This window comes from Homo sapiens, chromosome X (assembly GCF_000001405.40).
Source record: "Homo sapiens chromosome X, GRCh38.p14 Primary Assembly".
NCBI lineage: Eukaryota > Metazoa > Chordata > Mammalia > Primates > Hominidae > Homo > Homo sapiens.
Genome location: NC_000023.11, coordinates 8,687,919 through 8,713,672, shown reverse-complemented (window position 1 = coordinate 8,713,672; position 25,754 = coordinate 8,687,919). Strand labels below are relative to the sequence as shown.

Sequence of the window (25,754 nt, the reverse complement as noted above, 5' to 3'; positions counted from 1 at the left end):
TCGTTGCACTCCAGCCTGGGTGACAGAGTGAGACTCCATCTCAAAAAAAAAAGAAAGAAAGAAAAAAAAAAGAAAGAAAGGAGACATTTGGAGTGTATTTCGTGAAGTCACATAAAGCAAAGGAAGAGTAAGCATCTCAGGCTTTCGTGGGGATCAGCCATATTTGGACAACTTGTAAAACAGCTGACTGCTCTCCAGCCCCAGGAGTTTTGATTCTACGAGTGTAAGGTATATCACCAGAATTTGCAAAAGCTTCCAGGTGAGGCTGATATCACTGGTTCCAGTACCACACTTTGAAAGTCACTGCTTCAGTCAGTCATGCTGTCGGGCTTCTCTCTGGTACCTTTCTTTGCTTGATAAGAGGTGCCAAGTTCTAGCTTTGGAACTGTCCATTCTCCATCCCCCAGCTTGGACATTCTTCTGGGCAGCCCTTTTTGATTCAGGTTATGTACAATTGATTAAGTGTGAGCTTACTAAGTAGAAGTCAGTGGTGGTGTCCTCAGCAGAAACATCATTATAGGCTCACTTAGAATCAGTAGACTCATTTGTCAAATGAGAGGGCTGGAGTCACTGTCTGGCTGCCATGTCTTTTGAAACATGAGTTTTGATTCCACCTTGTTGACAGATGAAGAGGCCATTGTCAATTCCTCTGAACATATGTGTTCAGGGAGAGAGAGTGGGTCTCCTGGGAGAGAATGGGTCATTAGTAATCAAGGTCCAGGTATGGAACAAAGATCAGGAACATAAAGCTGAAGGTCTCACCAGAGGGTGCAACATTTTAAAAGTAGATTGGTTACACCTGGGGAGAATTGTGTGCTTGGCCAAATCACCTCATTATGACGGTGTGGTTCTTCCATGTTTATTCAAGCAATCAATTTTCACCAAAACTGGACTACTTGATTCTAAACAGTTTACATTATGGATTACAAATGCCTTCTTATGATACACCCACTTGCTGTCAGATTGAAGTACTTTATGAAAGGAAAAACCATTGTCAGTGAGATGGACAGATGGGTTGTTACAAAACACCATGTTCTGACATTTGCTGGGAGATGGCAAGGAGGCCAAAGTGAAGAAATAAACATTGATAGTGAGTTGAAGCAAATTGAAAAAATAATACGTGAACATATTAACACATAGATTATTAACTGAGGTGCAGGTTGAAGTGTGGCTGAAACAATGTAGTATTTGTCCCATGGCTTTAATTTATTTTAGTCGCTTCCGGATTGAATAATGCACCTCTAACTCCATATGTTGATGTCCTAACCCCCAGTTCCTCAGAAAGTGACAAAGTGGCCTTATTTGGAAATAACGTCGTTAGAGATGTGATTAATTGAGATGAGTCATTCTGGAGGAGGGTAGGCCCCTAATCCAATATGACTGGTGTCCTTACTGAAAGGAGAAATTTTAACACAGACATGCAGAGATGTGAGGACACGGATGTGAAGGTTGGAATGCTGCCACAAGCCAAGGAACTACCAGAAGCTCAAAGAAAGTCATGGAGCCAATCTTCCCCTATGGCCTTTCTGAGAGAGCATGGTCTTGCGATAACTTGGTCTCACACTTCCAGCCTCCAGAACCGAGAGACAATAAATTTCTGCTCTTTCAGCCCCCTGGGTTGTGGTACTTTGTCATGGCAGCCGTAGGAAACAAAGTCATATATTTCAATGTGAATTTGAAATTATACTAAGAATAGCACTTGACAGTATTGCATTTTCATGTTCTCCCAAGTGGGGTTTTGATATGTGAATCTAATTTAGTGTGACCTTGCATTAAACAACTGTATAGATTCTATTCTTTACATGGATATTATGCCTTTGCAAAGACTTGAAACAACCATACAATGTAGAAATTAATTAGGCTGCTCTTATTTATAAGGCACTGGAAACCATTTTCTTTACTGTTGTATCAAAACTTACTGAGGGATTTTAGAATTCTGACTTCTCCATGGCTAATCGCATGATTAATTGGGATTAATCAACCTCCAGGTGGGGCCCCAGAGCTCTCTGAGACCTTCTACGTTATTGAAAGTCACTCCTTGTGTGCAAAGTGGTCATATCACTGAACTTGGCATCTTGCCAGCTAGACTACAGCCTTGACCTTGGATGGTCACAGGTGGTTTTCATAGACATCTCTGTGATTATCTTGTAAAGACATTATTCATCTCATTTGAGAAAAGAAGACATTAATTTTTCTGAGAGCTTACCACCCATGGTGGATGAGTAGTAGCCTGGCATGTGAAATAAAGCCTTTGACTTTAAGTAAGGTGTGCTTACTATTAAAATATTCTTTGTGTTTGAATCAGTAATAGTTCATACATTTTTTAGCCTTCCTGAGCCCCAATTGACTCATCTACAAAGGGAGACTGTTGAACTTGAATTGCTATTAACTTGCCATTCTCAGGATGTAGAATTTTCCTCTGACTCTTGTGTTGCCACTGTTGCCAGTGGCTTTCACATGTTATTCTGATGTGTGACAATGACTAACCTGATGATTTGGGACAGTCTTAGGCATGGTAATTTTGAGGTTTAGAGCTATCATTGGACACTTAGATTCCTCTTCAGCATGGTAATTTTGAGGTTTATTGGACACTTAGATTTCTCCTCCAACCCCATTCTTTGCTTTTCCTTTCTCCTCAGACATTAGTGGAAATTCTAAGTTCCCCACTATATGCTCATTTCCATGATGTGGTTTGTGTCATCGTCTTGGTCCTGCCCTTGAGTATTATGGAATTCAGTAATATGTGTGTGATCTTCCTTCTTCACACTCAGGCAGGATGGTCCCTGCATTGTGTTTTTCTCTTCTGGTTTTGATGTTTTCCTTTGGCATGGTAAATGTTTTGGAGAGAGTTACTAGATGAATTAGTTAATCAGAGAATAAAATATTAGCAGGCAGAAAATCTGAAAGTTGATCACTTGCAACTCCTCACCCCTTTTCCCTTGAATGGCTTTGAGAGATTTCGCTAGGAATTCAGGATGGAAAAGTCAGCATAGCGGAGTAACATGTTACAGGGACACTGTAACCTCTTTTCCTTGGAAAGTTCCCTGTATTATGAGACAATGACATGTCATTAACGAGTTACATTTGTCTTGTTTTCACCAAGAAGATGGATTGAATGGCCCTCAAAGATCTTCTCTGAGTTGTAATGATATGGTATCATCTGAGTCAGAATGCTACCATTTACAAACATTTTGAGTGGGTATTTGGAATCACTTGTTGGGTCCTTTTTCTTATCCTGGTTGTGTTTAGAGAACAGGCTTGGTCAGATTCAAATAGATCTTACACTTTGACAGAGACCGGAATGCCCATTGATGAAAATACTTTGCACAGAAGGACTGCTGGTGAGGTAGAAGTTCTCAGAGAGCTCTGGACTCCTATGTGGCTCATGTGGTTAACTATAAAATCGGAATTTCAAAAGCCCTCATAAATTTATAAGATAACACGGCCGGGCGTGGTGGCTCACGCTTGTAATCCCAGCACTTTGGGAGGCCGAGGCAGGTGGATCACGAGGTCAGGAGATCGAGACCATCCTGGCTAGCACGGTGAAACCCCGTCTCTACTAAAAATACAAAAAATTAGCCAGGCGTGGTGGCGGGCACCTGCAGTCCCAGCTACTTGGGAAGCTGAGGAAGGAGAATGGCGTGAACCCAGGAGACGGAGCTTGCAGTGAGTGGAGATTGCACTGCTGCACTCCAGCCTGGGCAACAGAGCGAGACTCCATCTCAAAAAAATAAAAAAAAATTATAAGATAACACAAATAATGGTTTTCAATCATTTGTGCATAAGAGCAGCTATTGCACACTACCTTTCCCAGGGTGGACAAGGTTGAATCCTGATGTAGCTAAGAAATGTCGCAAGTCATAGTTTTAGTCTATGCAACTTTAGTTTCTGCTAAAATTTTTCTTGATGAATTTTTAGTTATATTTATTTATAAAACATCCTATATTAAGAACACAACACCTACAACAGTTAAGGAAATACAAGACCTAAGAAGGCTTCAAAACACTTCTAGTTATTACGTATCACCTAAAGTACACTATAGCCAGATAAATATTCGCATCATGTCATACTCTTTGCAGATAACCATGGTGAAGAATGTCCCTGGAGGCGAAGGTTGCAGTGAGCTGTGATCTCACCACTGCACTCCAGCCTGGGTGACAGAGTGAGACCCTGTCTCAAGAAAGAAAAGAAAAGAAAACAATGTAATTCAAAGTCATGTAAAGTTATTTAATATTGTTTTCTCTCTGTGTTGGTCTTGCATAATTTTCTCCTTTGATGATTTTCATTATTCACAAGAACTTTGAAATGAAATTGACATTTGTTTTCTTAAAGACATTTCTTTTTTTATGGTTGAATAATACTCCACTGTGTATATGTACTGCTTTTTCTTTCTTTTTTTTTTTTTAATTACACTTTAAGTTCTGGGATACCTGTGCAGAACTTTCAGGTTTGTTACATAGGTTTACACATGCCATGGCAGTTTGCTGCACCCATCAACCCATCATCTATCTATATTAGGTATTTCTCCTAATGCTATCCCTCCCCTCACCCCCCACCCCCTGACAGGCTCTGGTGTGTAATGTTCCCTTCCCTATGTCCATGTGTTCTCATTGTTCAACTCCCACTTATGAGTGAGAACTTGCGGTGTTTGGTTTTCTGTTCCTGTGTTAGTTTGCTGAGAATGATTGTTTCCAGCTTCATCCATGTCCCTGCAGAGGACATGAACTCATCCTTTTTTATGGCTGCATAGTATTCCATGGTGTATATGTGCCACATTTTCTTTATCCAGTCTATCACTGATGGGCATTTGGGTTGGTTCCAAGTCTTTGCTATTGTGAATAGTGCCACAATAAACATATGTGTGAATGTGTCTTTATAGTAGAATGATTTATATTCCTTTGGGTATATACCCAGTAATGGGATTGCTGGGTCAAATGGTATTTCTGGTTCTAGATCCTTGAGGAATTGCCACACTGTCTTCCACAATGGTTGAACTAATTTACACTCCCACCAACAGTGTAAAAGGATTCCTATTTCTCCACATCCTCTCCAGCATCTATTGTTTCCTGACTTTTTAATGATCACCATTCTAACTGGTGTGAGATGGTATCTCACTGTGGTTTTGATTTGCATTTCTCTAATGACCAGTGATGATGAGCTTTTTTCATATGTTTGTTGGCCACATAAATGTCTTCTTTTGAGAAGTGCTGTTCATATCCTTCACCCACTTTTTGATGGGGTTGTTTGATTTTTTTCTAGTAAATTTGTTTAAGTTCCTTGTAGATTCTGGATACTAACCCTTTGTCAGATGGATAGATTGCAAAATTTTTCTCCCATTCTGTAGGTTGCCTGTTCACTCTGATGATAGTTTCTTAGGCATTTCTATTGTTCCTTTAAACTGTCTGGCACTCAGCTTCCCCCTAAAGTTTTTTGTTTTTGTTTTTGTTTTGAGGCATAGTCTCGCTCTGCCACCCAGGCTGCAATGCAGTGGTGTGATCTCAGCTCACTGCAACCTCCGCCTCCTGGATTCAAGCAATTCTCCTGCCACAGCCTCCCGAGTAGCTGGGATTACAGGCATGTGCTGGCATGCCCAGATTATTTTTGTATTTTTAGTAGAGATGGGGTCTCACCATGTTGGCCAGGCTGGTCTTGAAATACTGACCTCGTGGTCCACCCGCCTCAGCCTCCCAAAGTGCTGGGATTACAGGCGTGTGCCACCATGCCTGGCCAGTTGGTTTTAAAAGTACAGGTGGAAAATAACTGCTGGTTACATTGAAACAACAGTATGTTCTTCTTGGATGAATATACTTGAAGAACACAATTCTATTAGTTTCAGGAAAAGTATATCAAAGTTATAATGCACCCTAAGGGTTTCAGGATCTGCCTCCCCTCCCCACCCCGGCAGACACCTACATCTGAAGATGCTCAAGTTATTGAAGTAAAATGGTGTGGTATTTGTATATAACCTGCAAATATCCTCCTATATATTTAAAATCATCTGTACATTACTTATAATACCTAATACTGTGTAAGTGCTATGTAAATAGCTGTTACACTGTATTGTTTAGGGAATGATGAGAAGAAGAAAAGTCTGGCATTTGCTGTTCTATATATTTTCTTTAGGTACTGTATCTACACCCTATAAAAAGATAATTAGTATTTTTATTTATTAAATAACGTATATTTGATCCCAAATGCAAGTCTTTGTTCAGTTTTCGGTGTCATCATGCCAAATCTCTTGGACATTTACATCATAGGAAACAAAATAATGAGCCTACTTCTTAAAAGCTCCATCCAGAGAAGATGAAACATTTCATCAGCTCAGTCTATTTATATCATTCTTTCTAGCTCCTCAGGACCTAATAACTAAAGCTTAAATTCCTTTGTATGACCTCCTACTCCATTCATTTATTTCTTCAATCAGTACCATTTGTGAAGACCATTTACTCTGTGTCAGGCACGCTGCTATGTGCCAGAGAGCCAATGGCAAACATGTGCTAGGGATAGACACTACCGCCAAAGCTTTTCCAGGCTGGGGGGCATATGATCATTAAATTAAAACAACACACATAATTTGCACTTGTCCACTGTGTGATAGAGTGCCTGGGGGGAGAAGTGCAGAACGTTATAGAGCAAGCAACAGAGAGAGAGAGCTGTGGAAGTCAGGGCGTGGGGGTCAGGGAAGGCTTCCTGGTTGAAGTCGCATTTTCTTTGAAGAAAGGACAGTATGGGAAGGCTGGGTGTCTGGAGGCAGGTGTATTTCTTTCTATATGGTCAAATATTTGTTTCCTGTAGAATTCCATTAAATGTGAAATATTTGTAGAATACAGAGAGACTTTTTTCTTGGTTAATGAAAAGACTGCTGAGGATATTCCATAACATTTGAAAGAAATCTTACTTATGAACAACAAATATATAAAGAAAGCCCTCCTCCTGAACCTTTTCAATAGACTTTTTATTTTGTAGAGCAGTTTTAGGTTCACAGCAATTGAGCAGAAGGTACAGAGAATATCCACATGCTCTCTGCCCCCACCATGCACAGCCTCTCCCATTACCAACATCCCCCACCAGAGTGGGACATTTGTGACAAGGGATGAACCTACGTTGGCACATCATCATCATCAGGGTCCATAGTTTACATACGCTTCACTTTTGGTGTTGTATGGTCTATGGGTTTGGACAAATATATAATGACTTGTATCTATAGTTTCATCTATTGCTTTAAAATAACTTACACCAAGCAGGACACAAAATTGTCCATTCAGGGTCACAGCTAATTATTTGCAGTGTCAAAGCATTGATTGGTAAAGTTAAGGTCTATGGTGGGTTTCCTGACTGATTTCTATTTCAAATGTTCAGTTCCATTGTTAGACACTAGTTTGGTATGTATTTTGGAAATTGTAGACTGACTAGTTCCTTAGCTGTTCCATGCCGACACCTGGCTATGTTGAAGGAAATGAGTGAGATCTGTTCCTGTTTTCTCTTTTCATATGGTGGGATCTAGAGAACTAGTTTCCATTTATCTTTATTCTTCCCGTGTGTGTTGTCTTTGCATGAATGATGTGTTTTCTTTACTTGAAGCTTTTGAAGAGTTATCTTTCTTTAAGGAAAAATCAAAAGGCTAGAAATGAAAAGACTTGGAAAATGTCATTGAAATAACGGCTGGGTGCAGTTGATTGAACTTATATAAACTCTTTGAAAGCCAGATTGACTAGCATTCATGTTTGATCTAGTTAAACCAATAAAATACAGGATGTAATCTTTATATAATTACAAAAGTCCCACTGTCTAATCCTACCTGGAGGTTACAATGATGGTTCTAGAGGCAAATGTGTTTCTAGCCTAATGTACTTTGACTCTTTATCTTTGTTGGCTTTAAGCCAGAACAAGACTTTATTGCAAATACTGTTATTTTATCTTTGTTGTCAAATGGCTTAACTGGTGAAGGCTATTGTAATCTGACGAAGGACTTCTGCTGGGGCAGGGTATTGAAATATACTGGATTCTTGTATTTTTTTATTGCTCTTCTGCTCAAAGAGTACTATATGTAAGCAACATAGGTGGATCGTGATGGGGTAGCATCTGGCCTAAACAAAGTGGCCAGCATTAATCGGGGGTTTATTGGCATCCCTGATGCTAGTGGGCAGGGTTCTTAGAAGTTCTTAGTAGAGATAAATAGCACAGCACATGATGACTGATACAGGTAAAAGCACAGAACGGCTGCAAAACCTTGGCATGGGGGCAATTATTTTAAGAAAAACAGGAAACCCAGAATCCAAAAAGGAACTATGGATGCATTTTGAGGGCAAATATATATGTGAATGCATGGATGCGTGCATCTGTGTGTGTGCATGCATATAAAATTTCCTTGTGGAAAAACCTCACAAATAAATGCAAAAGATGAATGAGGGGCTTGAGAATTTTTGCAATAGACAAATGATCATTGAACCTAAGTGATACTAATAGTTGCTAAAATTGATTTTAAAAATGGTGAACAATCCGCAATTAGATAAGGTAAAAGAGACAGACTATCCACGGTAAAGGAAAATAAATGGCCAGTCAGGAAATTAAAGTAAAAATACCAATACCATTGCCCACTCATCCTGTTGGCAAATGTTGAAAAATTGCTTCCACCCAAGGAAAAAACAGAATGGAAAGGCATCCTTTTACTGCAAGTTTTATTTGTATTTTAGTATTGCTAAAATACTGTATCTTAGTATTTTCAATACTAAATACTTTTGAGTCTCACTATAATAAGACTGAATCAGTTAGTCTAGGGTGAGTATTATCCGTTGTGAGCTGGGAGATATTAAGTCTAGGATTACTCCCAAACTGCTAAAGACAATATAATGGCAAATGACAACAAAATCACATCAATAATAACAAAGGATTTTTTAAAAATCCTGAGCCAAACATTTTGATAAATACTTTACAAGGATTATCTTTTTAATCATCCCAAGCAGCCTATGACATGCTGTCCTCACTAATTTTAAAAAATCATTCTAATCATAATAATTGTTTATGCATGCTTGCCATTGCCCCAAATATTTCTTTGTAATGACAGAGTTTTTCATTTTGTGATTAGTAGAAAATTTTGCTTGAAATGAAAATGCCTTGCTCAACGCAATGTATTGATATTAATTCCCAATTCAAAATAGGCTCTGTGGCTATTGGCTTTCTTCTCATTTTGATGGGTGTGTATAAGCCAATGGTATGGGGAGCATTGAATTGCAGGAAAGAAGGAGAGTTGGTGTGGGGCAGGGCAGGAGGGTTTACACTTGGGAAGGGGAGGTTGGGCAGCTGAAGACAATCTCTGCTGCATCCTTTGTGCTTTTGTTGTTGAAGTTTGGCCATTCAACATACACAGTAGAAGGGAACAAAAGAAAGCTAATCAAGGTGTGTATTAGTCTGTTCTCATGCTGCTAATAACGACATACCTGAGACTGGGTAATTTACAAAGAAAAAGAGATTTAATGGACTCACAGTTCCACATGGCTGGGGAGGCCTCACAATCATGGTGGAAGACAAAGGAGGAGCAAAGCCATGTCTTAAATGGTGGCAGGCAAGAGAGCATGTGCGGGGGAACTGCCCTTTATAAACCCATCAGATCTTGTGAGACTTACTATCACGAGAATAACATGGGAAAAACCCGCCCCCATGATTCAATTACCTCTCCTAGGGTCCCTCTCACATCACATGGGAATTGTGGGAGCTACAATTCAAGATGAGATTTGGGTGGGAACACAACCAAACCATATCAAGGTGTGTCCTGCACAGGGCTTCTCAGGACTCTAATCCTTTATTTTTGTTTTAATTAACTCTCTGATATTTGCTAAATTAAAAATATTATTTCCAGAGATAAAATCTTGTGTAATGAAAATCCTGCAATCTACTTTCTATTTACCTGATCTCCCCTCCTATTCTCTGCTCCACCCCATCCATCTGAACTGCTGCTACCTCAACATATGGTATTTAGGACTGTTGGACCAATCTTCATCTCTCCTTTTAAGGTTATAAATCTGGAAATTCCTTCAAAATCGAGTGTGCATCTTGTTCCTTTCTTCACCTGTGGCTTTTCCTGTTGTGTTGTTTACCATTGAGGTTAATCACTGGCTTTGTCACTCTGCATATTTTACTTGGTTTCCCTGACTACAGGTTTCTTAACTGTAAAATGAATAAATGAAGCTTATGTCATTTTGTGGGATGATTACATGGGGTGAGTATTAAAACATCAAGGCACATTTCTGCCACATAGATTTGGCCACTATAATAATAATAATAGTCAAAGGTGTATTGCCGCGTTAGTGATATTTTTGTCAACCTGTTGACAACAGTTTCTGTGCCTACTTTTGGAACCCCAGGCAACAGTTGCCATGCCCACTTTTGGAACCCCAGTCACTCTTGCATGGCCTCAGAAATGTGCCTTCTCTGTGAGGACCAAGAGCTGCCCTCCCTTGCTAATGTCTTACAGACAGGTAAAGAGGAAACATGGAATCCTGTCCCCAGGGAAAAATCTAGTTGAGCAACCAAGACACAGACAAAATAAAGCATATCATTCAGCAGGAGAGGGTGTGATAAAACTCCAAAGAGGAATCCAGCAAGTGCAGAAATAGCTGAGGGTCCCCTGATCTCATCCAGAGATAAGGTCCTGCCCATCTGCCTAGGAAAAGAAACATCCAGAAGGGAAGGAGGTCTCACCTGTGCCCATGTCAAGGATTCTAGTCCAAGGAGCAGAACCCCACTGACCTGACTCAAGAAGACTCAAAACCTTCCAACCAAGATGGTGCTGAAAAAGACCTTCAGGAACTGGCTTTGACCTAGTCTCCAAGGTCTGAGGCTGTCCACTTCAGCCCTGAGTCTCTTTAGAAGGTGCCTCATTGCTTCCCATCACTGGTTGGGGAGGAGCTTGGAACACTCAAGTTGAATCCAGGATGTGCTCAGACAGGTGTCGTCCTTGGAAGTCCTGGCAGGAGCCAACTCTGCACAGGGGAAGCAGGGGAAGCTTTAACTATGAAACCCCTCTAGCATATAGCCCTAATATTTACTTCTTCTCAGCCTTAACTCCCAATAATTCCTTCACATACCTAGGATTTTAGCCAATCCTGTATGAATCTACACACCGTGCAACATGCTGAGGCTGGCTGTCATGTAGGAAGTTCTTCAAAGCTGCCCTGCCCCAGCCCCCAGCTTCTGCATGCTCAATGCCTGGCCCCTGCTTTTTGCAGTTGTCACACTGTTTATGACCATCCCCTAGTCAGCCTGGCCCCTCTGAACTTTTAGCTTATAACCAAGCCAATGGCTCCCTTTATAAAATTTCAGTTTTATAAAAGGGTATGTTATGCCCTCTTACATGCTTTCTCCTAACATCTCATTTTCCGGTAATTCAACCACGCCCATCATTTGTCTGGCATTGGCCTCTGCCCAATCTAATTATTTATCTGATGTAATCCCTGCCAAAAATCATAACGAACTTCACCCTAAGCTGTTCGTATGCGTCTCCAGCTTCAGACCTTACTGTCTCTATGGGGGACATAGATGTGGGGGGAGAGATGAGGGCCCAGATGTGGACGTACGGAACTCAGTAGGTGGTAGGTAGGTTCATAGGAGATTGGCTCAAATCCTAAGAATGTGTAGGAATTATTGGGAGTTAAGGCTGGCTAAAATCCTAAGAATGTGTAGGAATTATTAGGAGTTAAGGCTGAGAAGAAGTAAAAAGTAGGGCTATATGCTAGAGAGGTTTCATAGTTAAAGCATTCATATGGGACCGAGATCTTTTAAGCCAATAATCTTCACATTGAAGAAGAAGATTGCCAATCCTATACAGCTGAGATTTATTTAGTGGTTTGGGGGGGATCCTATAATTAAGCTATTACTGGGAAGGGACATATTCAGATATGTTATTGGCAGTGGATGGGCAAAATGTGGTATATCCATGTAGCTGAAACTGACAGTCAAAAAGATGAAGTACCAATATATACTACAATGTACATGAAGCAAGATTGCTGTAGCATTTAGCATCAAGAAGCCAGACACATATTGTATGATTCCATTTATATAAAATGTCCAGAATAGGCAAATAGATAAAGACAGAAGCAGATTTAGTGTTTGCCAGGGTAAGGCAAGTAGTGGGGAAGACAGAATGGGAGTGATTACAAATAGGTACAGGTTTCTTTTTGGGCTGGTGAAAATGTTCTACAATTAAATAGTGGTGTTGGTTGCATAGCTTTCTGAATATACTCAAGTTGTACAATTTAAATGAGTGAATTTTGTGAATTATATCTCAATAAACTTGTTATAAAAGTATTTTCTAAAAGATATTTTTTGGTTCAATTTTCTTTTCTCATAACTGCAAACATATATCATCTTGCTCTGTCAATACTGGTATCCTTCATATTAAAAGTTTAGACGTTCAAACATAGGAAATGGGAGATTTTGTTTCATCTCCACCTTGAACTTCAGAGAACTAGAGGTCATGACATTTTAGCTATTGGGTGATGGTTTCTGCTAGCTTTGCTACCTATTCCGGCCTAGCATAACCTGACTTAAAAGATCCCAACCAGAGAAAAAAAAAAATCACCAAAATCTTAGTTATGTGGAATACAGCAATTCTAATGTTCAGGATAATAAATCATAGTACAATTTTATTTATTTATTTATTTTTTTGAGATGGAGTTTTCCTCTTGTTGCCCAGGCTGGAGTGCAATGGTGTGATTTCAGCTCACTGCAACCTCCTCCTCCTAGGTTCAAGCAATTCTCCTGCCTTAGCCTCCCCAGTAGCTGGGATTACAGGCGTGTGCCACCACACCCAGCTAATTTTATATTTTTTAGTAGAGACAGGGTTTCACCATGTTGGCCAGGCTGGTCTCGAACTCCTGACCTCAGGCGATCCACCCGTCTTGGCCTCCCAAAGTGCTGGGATTACAGGCATGAGCCACCACGCCCGGCCCCAAATATTTGTTATATATTGAGTGTATCTATTGTTTCATTTAGTTACCCCAGTGGCCTGATGCATGAGATATTGCTGTTAGGCTTGCTTTACTGATGGATAAACTGAGGCATGGGGATGTTAAGTCTCTTGTCTGTAATCATATGTTTTGTGAAAGAGTAAGAGAAGGCTTTTCACGTGGGATCTGATGTAGTTTGGATTTGTGTGCCTGCCCAAATCTTATGTCAAATTGGAAGGACAGGCCTGGTGAGAGGTAATTGGATCATAGAGGTGGATTTCCTCCTGGCTGTTCTCATGACAGGGAGTGAGTTCTCACAAGATCTGATGGCTTAAAAGTGTGTGGCACTTCCCTTTTTGCTCTCTCTCTCTCTCTCCTGCTCTGCCATGGTAAGATGTGCTTGCTTCCCCTTTGCCTTCCGCCATGATTGTAAGTTTCCTGAGCCTCCCCAGCCATACTTCCTGTTAAGCCTGCAGAACTGTGAGTCAATGAAACCTCTTTTCTTCATAAATTACCCAGTTTCAGGTAGTTCTTTATAGAAGTGTAAGAACAGACTAATACAAGATCTTTCTCCCAATCCCAAACTCTTATTTCTGTAAATTGGTTGAGATCAAAAGCATCCACAATGCTTAAGTTGTAAATTTCTCAAAACTGCTGACTATTGGCGGAACGTCTAGTGTTCATTTACCTGCTTCACTGCTCAACACACCATCAAAGTTGCCTCAGACCCTTTTTCATTTCAGACAGCTTAGAATCTTTAGTATTTTATATGTCTTTGTTTACATCATGAAATCGACAACAAAATGAAACTTACAAACACATTTTCTATCATTGGAAGGGAAGGACAGCAGGTTTTGCAAGATTGGGTATTTGTTAAAATGCAAATATTCAAAAATTATATGCATAAATTATAATTTTAAATTAGAAATCTGTGTATGTGTAGCTTTCTAATGGATCAATATTTTTCCTTTTTCTTTTTGCAGAACAATGGTTCCCTGGTTTGGTGCCAGAATCACAAGCAATGTTCTAAGGTACGTTTCCTATACCTGTATGAATGGTGCAAAAAACTTTTAATTTTGGAATAATTATAGATTCACAGTAAGTTGCAAAGACAGCACAGAGAAATCATATATGCCCAGTTTCCACCAATGGTTACACTTTAAGTAATTGTAAACAATATCAAAAGCACAAAATTGATATGCATGCAATGTATGTATATGATTTTGTGACATTTATCATGTGTAAGATTGGATTTACGTAGCTACCACTGCCATCAAGATGCAGGTATCAATGGTTCTATATACTACTGTATTTTATTGTTGTTTGTAATTTTCTGTTAAAAAACATTAAGAAGAAAATGCCCTCTGGTTAGACCAGAGAAGATTTAATGTATTCTATTTATACTTATGTTATTTTGCATGTATTTTGGTTTCTTTGTAGGAATTGCTGGTTAAATAATTTGATTTTTTCATTAAAGAGTCTCTCTTCCATTTTTGAGTATTCTTTGCTGCACACTAAAGTACTATAAACTTTATTATGTTACTTATTTATATGTTTGATATAATACAATTCTTACCTCAATCCCAATACACCAAAATCTTTGTTTTTTAAATATATATATGATGGTACTCTAGCTCCAGTCTGAAGTAGGTTTCGTAATCAGGTTATGTAAATGAGTAAAGTTTACAAAGTTTGCTAAAAACATTGGAGCAAAACTTTGGGATCATAATAGTGTTTCATAAAATTCATTTCATGGATATTACTTTTAGTCCTAAAATAGAAGTACACCTTATTTTATAAACAACAAGTAATCTAAGGAATATATAATAATCTTGAAATAGCATATTTATGAAAAGGATTATTTTGTGAAAGGTCTTTCAAATACATACAATAAATTATTATAGAATAATATTCCTAAACCAAAAACTTTGTTCTAATGATGCATTTCCACAATCATGCTCACTGAATACACATGAGTGTTACTTTAAAATAGAACAGAGTTCCTACGTGAATGTTAAATAATTTGATGAAGATAAGCTTTGCTTATCTCTGACTGTCTAGATACTAGGCAGGAATGAAATGCCTGGTTACGGTCCACTTACTCTTTTTATGTAATGTCCTAAGCATTTGTTCTGTCCAGACATTTTCTGGTATTGATTATATTAATTGGTCTTCAACTGGAATTTTAGATAACTTTTTCATGCCATCATTCCAGATAAAGCACATAATGCTATGAGGCTGATTAAATTTCATAAGTATTCTTTTTGTGCAGTGTCGTATTAATCGTGTATTATAGGAATGATAATTTGTTACATTGGTAATACTTCTTATTTAAGCACTCATTTTTTCCATATTCCATCAAGAAATTATCTTTTGCAGACTTATAAGGAATTTGATTAGAACAGGCTTATTTGAATTACTTTAAAATTATTGCAGTGAAAGAAATTTGTACACTAGGGATCATAGATGGTTAAACCATATTTTGCAAATGATTAATCAAGGCTGCCATGAGGGACTTTGAATTTCACAAGGAAAGAAAGCAATCCTTTTTGTCAGAAAGCAAAAATCAATCAATAAGTCACAATTAAGCCCAACTGAAACTCTGGAATATATTACAAAGCTGACAGAAATTGAAGGGTTGTCTTTAACTTGGGATCCTTGGGAATCTTTGGGAATGAATCTTGCTTATTAATCAGAGTTTGACTCCTTTGGATGTTAGCATGACTGGATACCTGTGCAGATAATTACAATTTGCATTTCTTTTGGGATTCATGAAGTACTAGGTGGGCTTTTTCTCTTAATGCGTAGGTTAATAAGGTTACTGGTAATCCGTAGTCACATAGTCATCAGTTTTACAAATGGGAAAATTCAGGCATGTGCATATTGATGATGGTTCTGTAATCACTCAACAAACCAGTAGAGACATATACATCCCTGTCTTCTACACTGTGTTTCTTACAGGCCAACAACTCTAGAAACCAGTTTGTACAAATATAGGGAGAGAAAAGTCAGAAAACTCAGAAAAGTCAGAAGCAGTGTTAATGCTACAATTTTCCGATGATGTATTTTAAAAGATTAGGTTTGCATAATGTTTTCTAGAAACCACACACTTTTTAATCACTTCTGGTGACCATCTGCAAAGCCTGTCAGCTCCTCCTTCAGAGCCCCTGTGGAATAGATCTCATCTAACCACTCTTCCCACCTCCAACCTGCCATTCTCTCTGTCTGGGATGAATCCAAGAGCAACCCGATGGGTCTCCTAGCTTCCACTCTGACCCCAAACAATCACATTTCCTCATGGCTGCTGGAAAGACCCTTCAAACATATAAGTGGCATCACACTGCTGTCTACCTTAAACCTAATGATTCATTTCCGTCTCACTCAGACTAAAATCCAAAGCCCTATTCTGATTCTCACTGGCTGTCTCTTGACTGCCTGTGCTCTGTCCCCAACTTTGATGTTGTTTTTGTTGTTTGTTGGTTTTTCGAGATGGAGTCTTGTTCTGTCACCCAGGGTGGAGTTCAGTGGTGCAATCTTGGGTCACTGCAACCTCTGCCTCCCGGATTCAAGCAATTCTCCTGCCTCAGCCTCCCGAGTAGCTGGGATTACAGGCGCCTGCCACCATGCCCGGCTAATTTTTGTATTTTTTAGTAGAGATGGAGTTTCTCCATGTTGGCCAGGCTGGAAGAAAACATTTTAACTGTAGAGATTCGTCTCTGTGCTTCATCTGACTTCGGGTATGCTGGGTTCCACATAATGGAATCAGCACTATGAGCTCAAGGGTCTTTAGCCCCTGCACCACTCAACCCTAGAGAATATAGAAGAGTGCCTATTGTCCAGCACAGGTCTAGGCCAGTGGTTCTCAACCAAGGGCAATTTCCTCCCCCAGGAACAATTGCCAATGGCTGGAAATATTTTTGATTGTCACAGTTGGGAGTGAGGAGTTACTGGCATCTAGTGGGTCAAGGCCAGGGATGCTAATAAAGAACCTATACTGCACAGAAAAGCCCTCCCACAGCAAGGATTATCTGGCTCCAAATATTAGTAATGCTGAGATTGACAAACTCTGGTCTACACATTTGTGAAGTTATAAAAGAAATTAAGAGCATAGTCCTCAGCAGTTTTACTTTATTTATGAAAGAAAATAAATGTGTAGTTTACTGAGTACAAGGTATGTGCCAAGCACCTTTTTAGGGGCTCATTATGTCTAGGAATTCTGATTGTCATCATGTACTCTGTAACACTGGTGAGAGAGATTGCTCTTTGCCTGCTAATCTGGTTTCTCCTCTTCTCTGCTAATCGAAAGCTCATTCCTCACCTGAGCACATTGTCACCTTGTGTTAAACATCTATATTTCCCCAAGCTCCATTGCTTCTAAATATGGCCAGTAACTAATTTCTTGCCCAAGTGGAATCATTGTGAAGAAATTTCAAAATGCCTCTTTTAAAGGGAACTGATTTAGCTAGAAAATGCACTCATTTGTTCTCTTCCCCTTGTCTTTCCCTGCTTCTTAGAGGGCATACCAATGGCAGGGGCCCCAGCAGCTCTCTTGGGCCATGAGGTACTTTTGAGGATGGAGTCCAGGCTGAGAATAACTGACAAGAAAGATAGAAGGAACCTGGCTCTTTGATACTGTGGGGCCCCATACCAGCCTTGCACATGAAGAGGAAATACCTTTCTATCTTGCTTAAGTTACTGTTATTTCACATTTCTTTTGTTCTATGAAGATGGAATTGTGTGTGAGTGAAATTAATCTCGGCTTCATCTTGGAATGACCACCTTCATGTCATAGATGCTCAGAAAAGGTGGGTGACTTTCTTACAAAGTCACTTTACTAATAAGTACCAGTAAATCCCCTACACAGGATTTGAACTGAGTTCCGGTGGAATTAAAAGCCAGTGATTTTCTCATTGTATACCTCACACATATGAAGTCTTATAGAATAACTTTTTAAAAGTTATGAAAGATCTCCTGCTCAATTTAGTGGTTGATTGTCTTGATGCACTAGGTTTTTTTTTTTTTTTTTTTTCCACCCTTATAGCTACTGTGAATAGTGTAACTTCCTGGCAAAACTGTGACCCAATTCTAGCAAATGAGCCATATTTTCTCTTTCTTGCTTTTATGTTCCTGTTGTCTGGTGGGAAGTCAGAAAGATACAGCCTAAAGATGGCCTACTCTTCTGATTCAGCTTCATTTAGGGATACATAGTAGATTCCCGGAGAAATAGATTCCTTAGATATTCCTCCGTTAAGGTGATTTTTCTTTTCTTTTCTTTATTTTTTATGTTGAGAGAACATTTAACCCATAAGAATGTGGTATGCCCTTGGCCACTCCAGAATAAACTGTTCGCAAAACTGACATCTAAACACAGTTTCAGTCTCGGATGATTCAGGGCAAACCATTTATTTATTAATTTAGAGACGGAATCTCGCTCTGTGTGCCAAGCTGGAGTGCAGTGGCATGATCTCTGCTCACTGCAACCTCCGCCTCCTGGGGTCAAGCAGTTCTTGTGCCTCAGCCTCCCCAGTAGCTGGGATTACAGGCACCTGCCACCATGCCCAGCTAATTTTTGTATTTTTAGTAGAGATGGGGTTTTGACATGTTGGCCAGGCTGGTCTCAAACTCCTGGCCTCAAGTGATCTGCCCCCCTCAGCCTCCCAAAATGCTGGGATTACAGGCGTGAGTCACCATGCCTGGCCAAGCCTTTTAAAATATATCAAATCTATCCTAAAAAGATGCCTTTACAATCACTTATTTTTAGTAGTTCAATTTTAGTAGTAAGTAAGTAATAAGATCACCTATTTCTAATCAAGAAAGTAAATATACACCTTTGGCATAAAAAATAATGTATTTTAAAAATTCTATCTAAATATGTTTTGCAAACAATTTTTATCTTAATTTCCTTTTTTTCAGTCCAAGCCACACTAAATACTTTTTGGAATGAAATATTACTATAGTAATGTAAAACATACTGATAAAACGTGATATATTTCCATTCTAATAATATTTTTAAGTTGGTCCAATCTTAACAATGTACATTACTTTTATTTTATTTTATTTGAGATGGAATTTCGCTCTTGTTGCCCAGGCTGTAGTGCAGTGGCACAGCCTTGGCTCACTGCAACTCTGCCTTCCAGGCTCAAGTGATTCTCCAGCCTCAGCCTCCTGAGTAACTGGGATTACAGGTACCCCCCACCATGCCTGGCTAATTTTTGTATTTTTAGTAGAGACAGGGTTTCTCCATGTTGGCCAGGCTGGCATCAAACTCCTGGCCTCAAGTGATTCGCCTACCTTGGCCTCCCAAAGTGCTGGGATTACAGGCGTGAGCCACCATGCCCGACCTATTACTTTAAGAACCTATTTTCATTAACCTTTCTCTTAAATAACAAATTACTCCATGCCAAATATAATGTAAATCAGATCCTATTTTTTCCCATATATTATAATGTTGTGGCTGTTCAGCCCTTTTATTTATGTTTCTAGTTTAACATTTTCTTTAAATGCATTTCATTTGCTCGTTCCAATAGAGTCTGATTAATCCCATTTCAGTAGATACTCACTGAGCATCTACTATGCCCTAGGCCCTAGTGATAAAGTGATATGAAGGGTGAACTTGGTCTTTGCATTAATTTTTTACTTTTTTGCTCACTGAGAAAATTCCCAGATATTGTTACTTCATCCATTCTTAAAAATTCATGCAATATTCCAGCCTGGGGCGGTGGCCCACGCCTGTAATCCCAGCACTTTGGGAGGCTGAGGTGGGCAGATGACAAGGGCAGGAGATGGAGACCATCCTGGCCAACATGGTAAAACCCCATCTCTACTAAAAATACAAAAATTATCTGGGCATGGTGGTGCACACCTGTAGTCCCAGCTACTTGGGAGGCTGCGAAAGGAGAGTCGCTTGAACCCTGGAGGTGAAGTTTGCAGGGAGCTGAGATCCAGCCTGGCGACAGAGTGAGACTCTGTCTAAAAAAAAAAAAAAAAAAAAAAAATTCATGCAATATTCCTTATGAGTCCCCATTACTGTACCAATGGGGACATAACCACCTTCTCCCCCTTACTTTGCCCATTAGAGCATTTGTGTACCTTTAGAATCCATTTCTGCTTTTTCTCTTTGCTAATCTCACAATTCTAACTCTTTTCCATCATTCTGAAGTTCCTCTGTACTCACCCATTAACGGTTAATATGTGAATTACCCAGTTTCTGTTAGGCTCTGCTCATGGTCTTAAGGCTCAATTCTCATGTTCGTAACTTATTTGGTACTCTGGGATGGAAATATTTGATGAAGAAAGAGAAAACTATTTGAGTGAGCCACAGACACATGGATCCTAGGACTGACTATGTTAAGAGTTAGATGGCTCCTCTCAGTAAGGGAACATAGGTGATACAGACCACTGAGATCATTGTTTGCATGAAGGATGGAGAGAAGAATTCTAAAGCTAGAGAGAATATTTAGGAATATCCAGTGCAATTCTTTCATTGTGCGCTTCAGGAACCTGAGGCCTGAAGCAATGATATATCCAGCCAAAGACAGCCTCCAGCTCAGAGGAAATGCTTATTCTTACATTCTATTTTTCATTGTATGTAATTTCCCTAAAAGCCCACTTAGGAATGATTTGGAGCATTTGACAGGAAATTCAAATTCATGGGCAAGATGCCCTGGTGTTTAGTCATAGCACAGAGTCAAAATATTGTAATGAGCCATGTTAACATCTATGTTTCCCAGTGGCTTTTTCTGGTAGAGGAGGACAAATATCCTTCTCTCTACCCATCCTATGTTCATGACTTAGGTCCTTTTAACACAAGATAGACTAAGAAGAGAAAAACTTGCAAATTTATTTAGTAAGATTTACATGCTGTGGGAGTCTTCCTAAATAAATGAAGACTCCAGTAAATGGTTAATTCTGTGTATTTTTATAGTAGCTTTGATGAAGAGTGAATACTGATGGAGAGATATGATAGGACAAAAAGGGTGTGATCTAGTGTAGATAAACTGGGGAATTTAGCAAGGCCTGTTTGTTCAGGTTCCTCTCTGTGACCCTTCATCTTCAGAGATGAGCATGTTCCTTTCTTCCAGGGATCGGGAGGCCCTCACATGAGTGTCTTCTGACCTGCTTCTTGGGAATGTTGGAAAAGCTTTCCTAAGCTGTATGCCCTGCATCGGGGAGAAGCATATGTGTGGGTGAGGAGGGGAGGTCAGAGAGACTTTCCTGCTTCTGTTTTTTTAATATGCCAAGGTGCCGTATTTTGAGTAGTGTGTCCTGAATCCCATCATCCTTTTCAATGTAACTTTTCATTAAATGCAGTGTTCTAGGATAAGGGTTAGCAAATGACTTCTAAAAAAACACCAGATAGTAACCATCTTTGTCTTTGCAGCCCATAAAGTATCTGTTGCAACTACTCAACTCTGTTGTTGCAGCACAAAAGCAATAGTAGAAAATACATAGACCAAGAAGAGTGGCTATGTTCCAATAAAACATTTTTTGTAGATAGTAAAATTTCAATTTCCTGTAATTTTTACATTATAATATTTTACTTATTTTTTTTCCAACCATTGAAAATGAAAGAACCATTCTTAGCTTACTGGTTCTACAAAAACAGATGGCAACCTGGATTTGGCCTGCTGCTGTAGTTTGTCAACCCCTCTTCTATGACATTACATTCACACAGACAAAACTAAACCCAAACAAAACAATAAAAATGCATTCTTCTGACAATACAAAGACATATCTTAAAATATTTAAAGTCAAACAAAAATGGACAGTTTCTGACATAGCTTATAGAACATTGTTTGTCAAACTGCAGGGATTTGAAATAATGAATAGTAAACAATAGTGAAAAAAAAACTTCAAATAAATCACAGCTAATTTTTGAAAATCCAGTGTTAAAATGTGATGATCAGAGTCAAGAAAAATTGTGAAAGATTTGAAAATTGGCAAAAGTAAAGATTATTTTTCTCTGTATTGCACTTCTCCAAGTTCTGTCCAGTGTTCAGTGCTTTGAACTATTTTCCCACTCTGCAAATGGTAGAAAATTGATAATGAAAATAACTCTTGTCCATGAAAATGCAAATACATTTTGTCTAGTGGAATGCACTTGATGCTTCATCCAGGAATACAACATTTTGCATATATTTGTAAATCCATTTCAGCACCAGCATTCCTTATTGACCCTATTCATCCATCCATCCATCCGTCCATCCATCCATCCATCCATCCATCCATCTTAATCTGTCTATCATTTATCTGTCTATTGTCTATTTATCTATGGGATTTTTCCTTTGAATCAAATGTAACATATGACTATTTCTTGAGTTAAATAAAATCTTTGGTACATTTCCATCTGATATTTGCATGAGTCTTGTCTTCACTTTATAAAATATTTCTCCACTTTGGGAGTCCAAGGCAGGTGGATCACGAGGTCAAGAGTTCAAGACCAGCCTGGCCAACATGGTGAAACCCCGTCTCTACTAAAAATACAAAAATTAGCCGGGTGTGGTGGTGCACGCCTGTAATCCCAGCTACTCAGGAGGCTGAGGTAGGAGAATCACTTGAACCCAGGAGGTGGAGGTTACAGTGAGCTGAGATCGCTCCACTGCACTCCAGCCTGGGCAACAGATTGAGACTCTGTCTCAAAAAAAAAAAAAAAAGATTTCTCCTTTAACTTTCAGCTCAGAGTTATGTTTCAAAACCTTGCATCTAACAAACAATGGCATGCCACTTAGTAACAACCACCTATCTGTGGGGAGCCTGCATGCTTATCTTTCTGCCTTTGAGTGCCAGAACTCACTGGCTTGACTTTTGTTCCCCATTTGGTTTGGAGTGTATGTGTTGAAAAGTGGTAATTTAGGGCCCAGTCTTGGTGCCTTGGCTTACAGCTTTAATCTCAGTGGGAGTTCAGTTCTTATAAGGGTACAACTCCTAACTGTTAGTGATTTTCCAGCTTTATTCAGAACCACGTTTAGAGGTGAGGAAGATTGGTTTTGCTTGTGTAAAAATCTGGACAGCTTCATTTGCCATCTGTGAAATTTATCGAGTGAGGGCCAAACCTCTGAAACACATCTGAATATGACTGTGGAAATTTTTGTTTTGTATGAGATGCTTTCTGTGATTTATGTGGTAATGACTGTAAATCCATAGAGCCCAAGGAAGACATTTCTTAGGAGCAAAATGAAAACTCAGACATACATGAAAATGCACCATGCCCCAGTACCCAAGAACCAAAGGTGAACGTTTTTTATCTGATTGCAATTCTAATATGTAGTGGATCAAAATTTTAAATGTTTAGATACTTTAGACCTGTTGCAATACTTACTGATGCTTATACAATATCTCTTGACTTTATATATGATACATTTCAAGAATAATGTTGCTGTTCACCAAGCATCTGTTGTCCAACTTATTGATCTCCTTTGGAGCAAACAATGACTTCACAGCCAAATCACGTTTGACAATGATTTCAGGAGAAGTGCAGGCTTGTGTAATTCAAAGAGAGAGATTTGTGCAGAAAATGTCTCAAGTCGGGTATAATTAATTCCCCTTCATTTTGGATATTAATGTTATTATTTCCACAAGTACATGTCTTTACTTACATGAGATCATGTCTTTATTTTTCAGGAGAAAATAAATATGATGTGAGAATAAACATTAGAAGAGATAAGAGAAATATTCTATTATTTCCTTAAACCAACATTTTGGTCTTAACATTTGTGTAGAATGCATGCGAAAAGAAATTGTTAGTGTGTGTGAGGTTTCAACTAGTGTTCTTTTGAAAAAGCCATCTTATGTACAATATTATATTAGCATGATTAATATAAACCACTGGATGTAAATTTCTCCAACTGTCCTATAGCATGATGCCACAAGATAATTATAAGTAGCCTTGGCGTTTTGTGCTTAGTAAGACATGAAGTCTCTCTCTCTTTCTCTCTCTCTCTCTTTTTTTTTTTTGTTTTTTTTTTAAAGCTTTATTGCTCACACAGAACCTGTTTGGTAGTTTCTTCACACGGATGTGTGTGACAACAGGGTCTTGCTCTGTTGCCCAGGCTGAAGTGCAGTGGCACCATCTCGGCTCACTGGATCCTTGACTTCACAGGCTCAAGTAATCCTCTTGCCTTAGCCTCCTGAGTGGCTGGGACTACAGGCATGTGCCACCATGCCTGGGTAATTTATTATTATTATTATTATTATTTGTAGAGACAAGATCTCACTATGTTGTCCAGGCTGGTTTGAACTCCTGAGCTCAAGCCACTTGTACACCTCGGCCTTTCCAAAGTGCTGGGATTACAAGCATGAGCCACGGAGACCGGCCTGAAGTCTGTCTTAAGGGAGTTGATGGAATTGAAAATTAAGTTAGGGCTGGACGTGTGGCATGATTTATAAGTAATTCATCCATTGTTGCTCTAGAAGGACATTAAAGTGGCTATCATCTCTGATGCAAAGGCAGAAATGGAAAGAAAAAAGAAGAGAAAAAAATGAGAGCCTGGGAAAAAGATAAAAAAAGAACTCACAAATAGCTACATAAACAACTAGTTTCAAAACACCATTTCTTAAATGGCCAGGAAATAGTCCTGAGATTTTTGAGAAACCACTGAAGGCTTCCAGCAGGGTCCCTTCTAGTGATAATGCAGGTGGATGGATGAGTTAATGATTTAAACAATTAGAGATTTGCTGCAAACTTCCATCTGTCACTGCCCCCTGGAATGCAGACTCACAGTTCTAATTGGAGCCTCCAGCATTGAAGGCGGCATGAGTTGGTGTCACTGATTTGCTTCCCCTGACCACTGTCATTCTCATGGTAAGCGTTTTCTGCCCTCACGCTGAGAACTTTTATCAAACATATTAGTGTGCATTTGGGTGATCATTAGCCTGTGGTAGCTGAAACATTCCAGGTTATTTTAGCCTAGAAACTAGCCTGTCTGCTGAAAGAACATGCAAAGCTTCCTGCTAAGCTGGTACACAATCAATATATAAGGGAAAGAACGGGTTCCTATTTAGATTTAAATCCAATATGTGACAAGTTAATAGCTCAGTGTGTTTCTGCTTTTCCATGTCAATTTTACGGGTGTGAAAGACTCTTCCACCTGCTATAAACTTCAAAGGAAAAACATGCGGAAGGGGAAATGCACCTCCGTGTAAGTCTTTCCCTAATCTCTTACGATTAATTTCTTCTTCCATCTGATGAAAGAAAATGCAAACGAAATCTCTTATTTGGTTCACAGTTGAAGACGAGTTCCATAAAGCTGCCTTTAGAAAGGGAATCTGTTTTGAACATATGAAAACCATCTGAGTCAAGATGCATTACATGGTGATTACAGTCTGACAGATGTTTTGAAGTTGTAATGTGTTCATCAGAAAGCACGCAGAGCAGGGATGAGCACCGCTTGTTTGAAGATGTTGAGGTTTATTCTGGCAACTGGAAAAATGCACCAATGCTGATTGAAGTTTGGGGACCCTTATATTTGAGAAAGGAGACAGAATTGGATTTCAGTCTCTGGTAGATCAGCATTTGTGGGCATTGAACATGAGATTGTATCATGTTGCTTTATCTCTGCCGTGACAGTCACTGTCAAAATATTCTCTACTGGGGTAGAAAACTCTCACTTGAATTTAAGGGGGGTCCACATTTGCTTTTCTATGTTCATAATTTTGACTCCACCTTATACGTAATCGTTGGAATGAGGTTCAAGTCTACTTGTCTCCCGAATCACACATAGGAGTTCCTCTTAGAAAACCTAATTTGTGTTTGTGCGTAGTCTACTTTGGAAACTTTTCATTTCTCTGTGTTTCTGAAAGAGCAGTCATTGT

The 25,754-nt window shown here is 39.2% G+C and overlaps 1 protein-coding gene across 2 annotated transcripts in view, besides 4 other annotated features; it reads left to right on the top strand.

Annotated features, from left to right (window-relative positions):
• The window catches only part of ANOS1 (anosmin 1), a 203,264-nt gene that overhangs the window by 18,465 nt on the left and 159,045 nt on the right, over positions 1–25,754 (top strand). For both annotated transcript variants that reach the window (NM_000216.4, NM_001440775.1), the window contains exon 2: positions 13,928–13,975. In NM_000216.4, the coding sequence (NP_000207.2) occupies positions 13,928–13,975 (48 nt within the window). The remainder of the gene's footprint in view (positions 1–13,927; positions 13,976–25,754) is intronic.
• Positions 9,056–9,773: an enhancer, noted in NCBI's record as "NANOG hESC enhancer chrX:8671941-8672658 (GRCh37/hg19 assembly coordinates)". NCBI's record gives its function as "activates a minimal SCP1, AML or CMV promoter by ChIP-STARR-seq in naive H9 embryonic stem cells {active_cell/tissue: H9 hESC(naive)}" and the evidence as "EXISTENCE:reporter gene assay evidence [ECO:0000049][PMID:30033119]".
• Positions 13,362–13,862: an enhancer, noted in NCBI's record as "H3K4me1 hESC enhancer chrX:8667852-8668352 (GRCh37/hg19 assembly coordinates)". NCBI's record gives its function as "activates a minimal SCP1, AML or CMV promoter by ChIP-STARR-seq in naive H9 embryonic stem cells {active_cell/tissue: H9 hESC(naive)}" and the evidence as "EXISTENCE:reporter gene assay evidence [ECO:0000049][PMID:30033119]".
• Positions 23,545–24,517: an enhancer, noted in NCBI's record as "OCT4-NANOG-H3K27ac hESC enhancer chrX:8657197-8658169 (GRCh37/hg19 assembly coordinates)". NCBI's record gives its function as "activates a minimal SCP1, AML or CMV promoter by ChIP-STARR-seq in naive H9 embryonic stem cells {active_cell/tissue: H9 hESC(naive)}" and the evidence as "EXISTENCE:reporter gene assay evidence [ECO:0000049][PMID:30033119]".
• Positions 24,518–25,490: an enhancer, noted in NCBI's record as "OCT4-NANOG-H3K27ac hESC enhancer chrX:8656224-8657196 (GRCh37/hg19 assembly coordinates)". NCBI's record gives its function as "activates a minimal SCP1, AML or CMV promoter by ChIP-STARR-seq in naive and primed H9 embryonic stem cells {active_cell/tissue: H9 hESC(naive and primed)}" and the evidence as "EXISTENCE:reporter gene assay evidence [ECO:0000049][PMID:30033119]".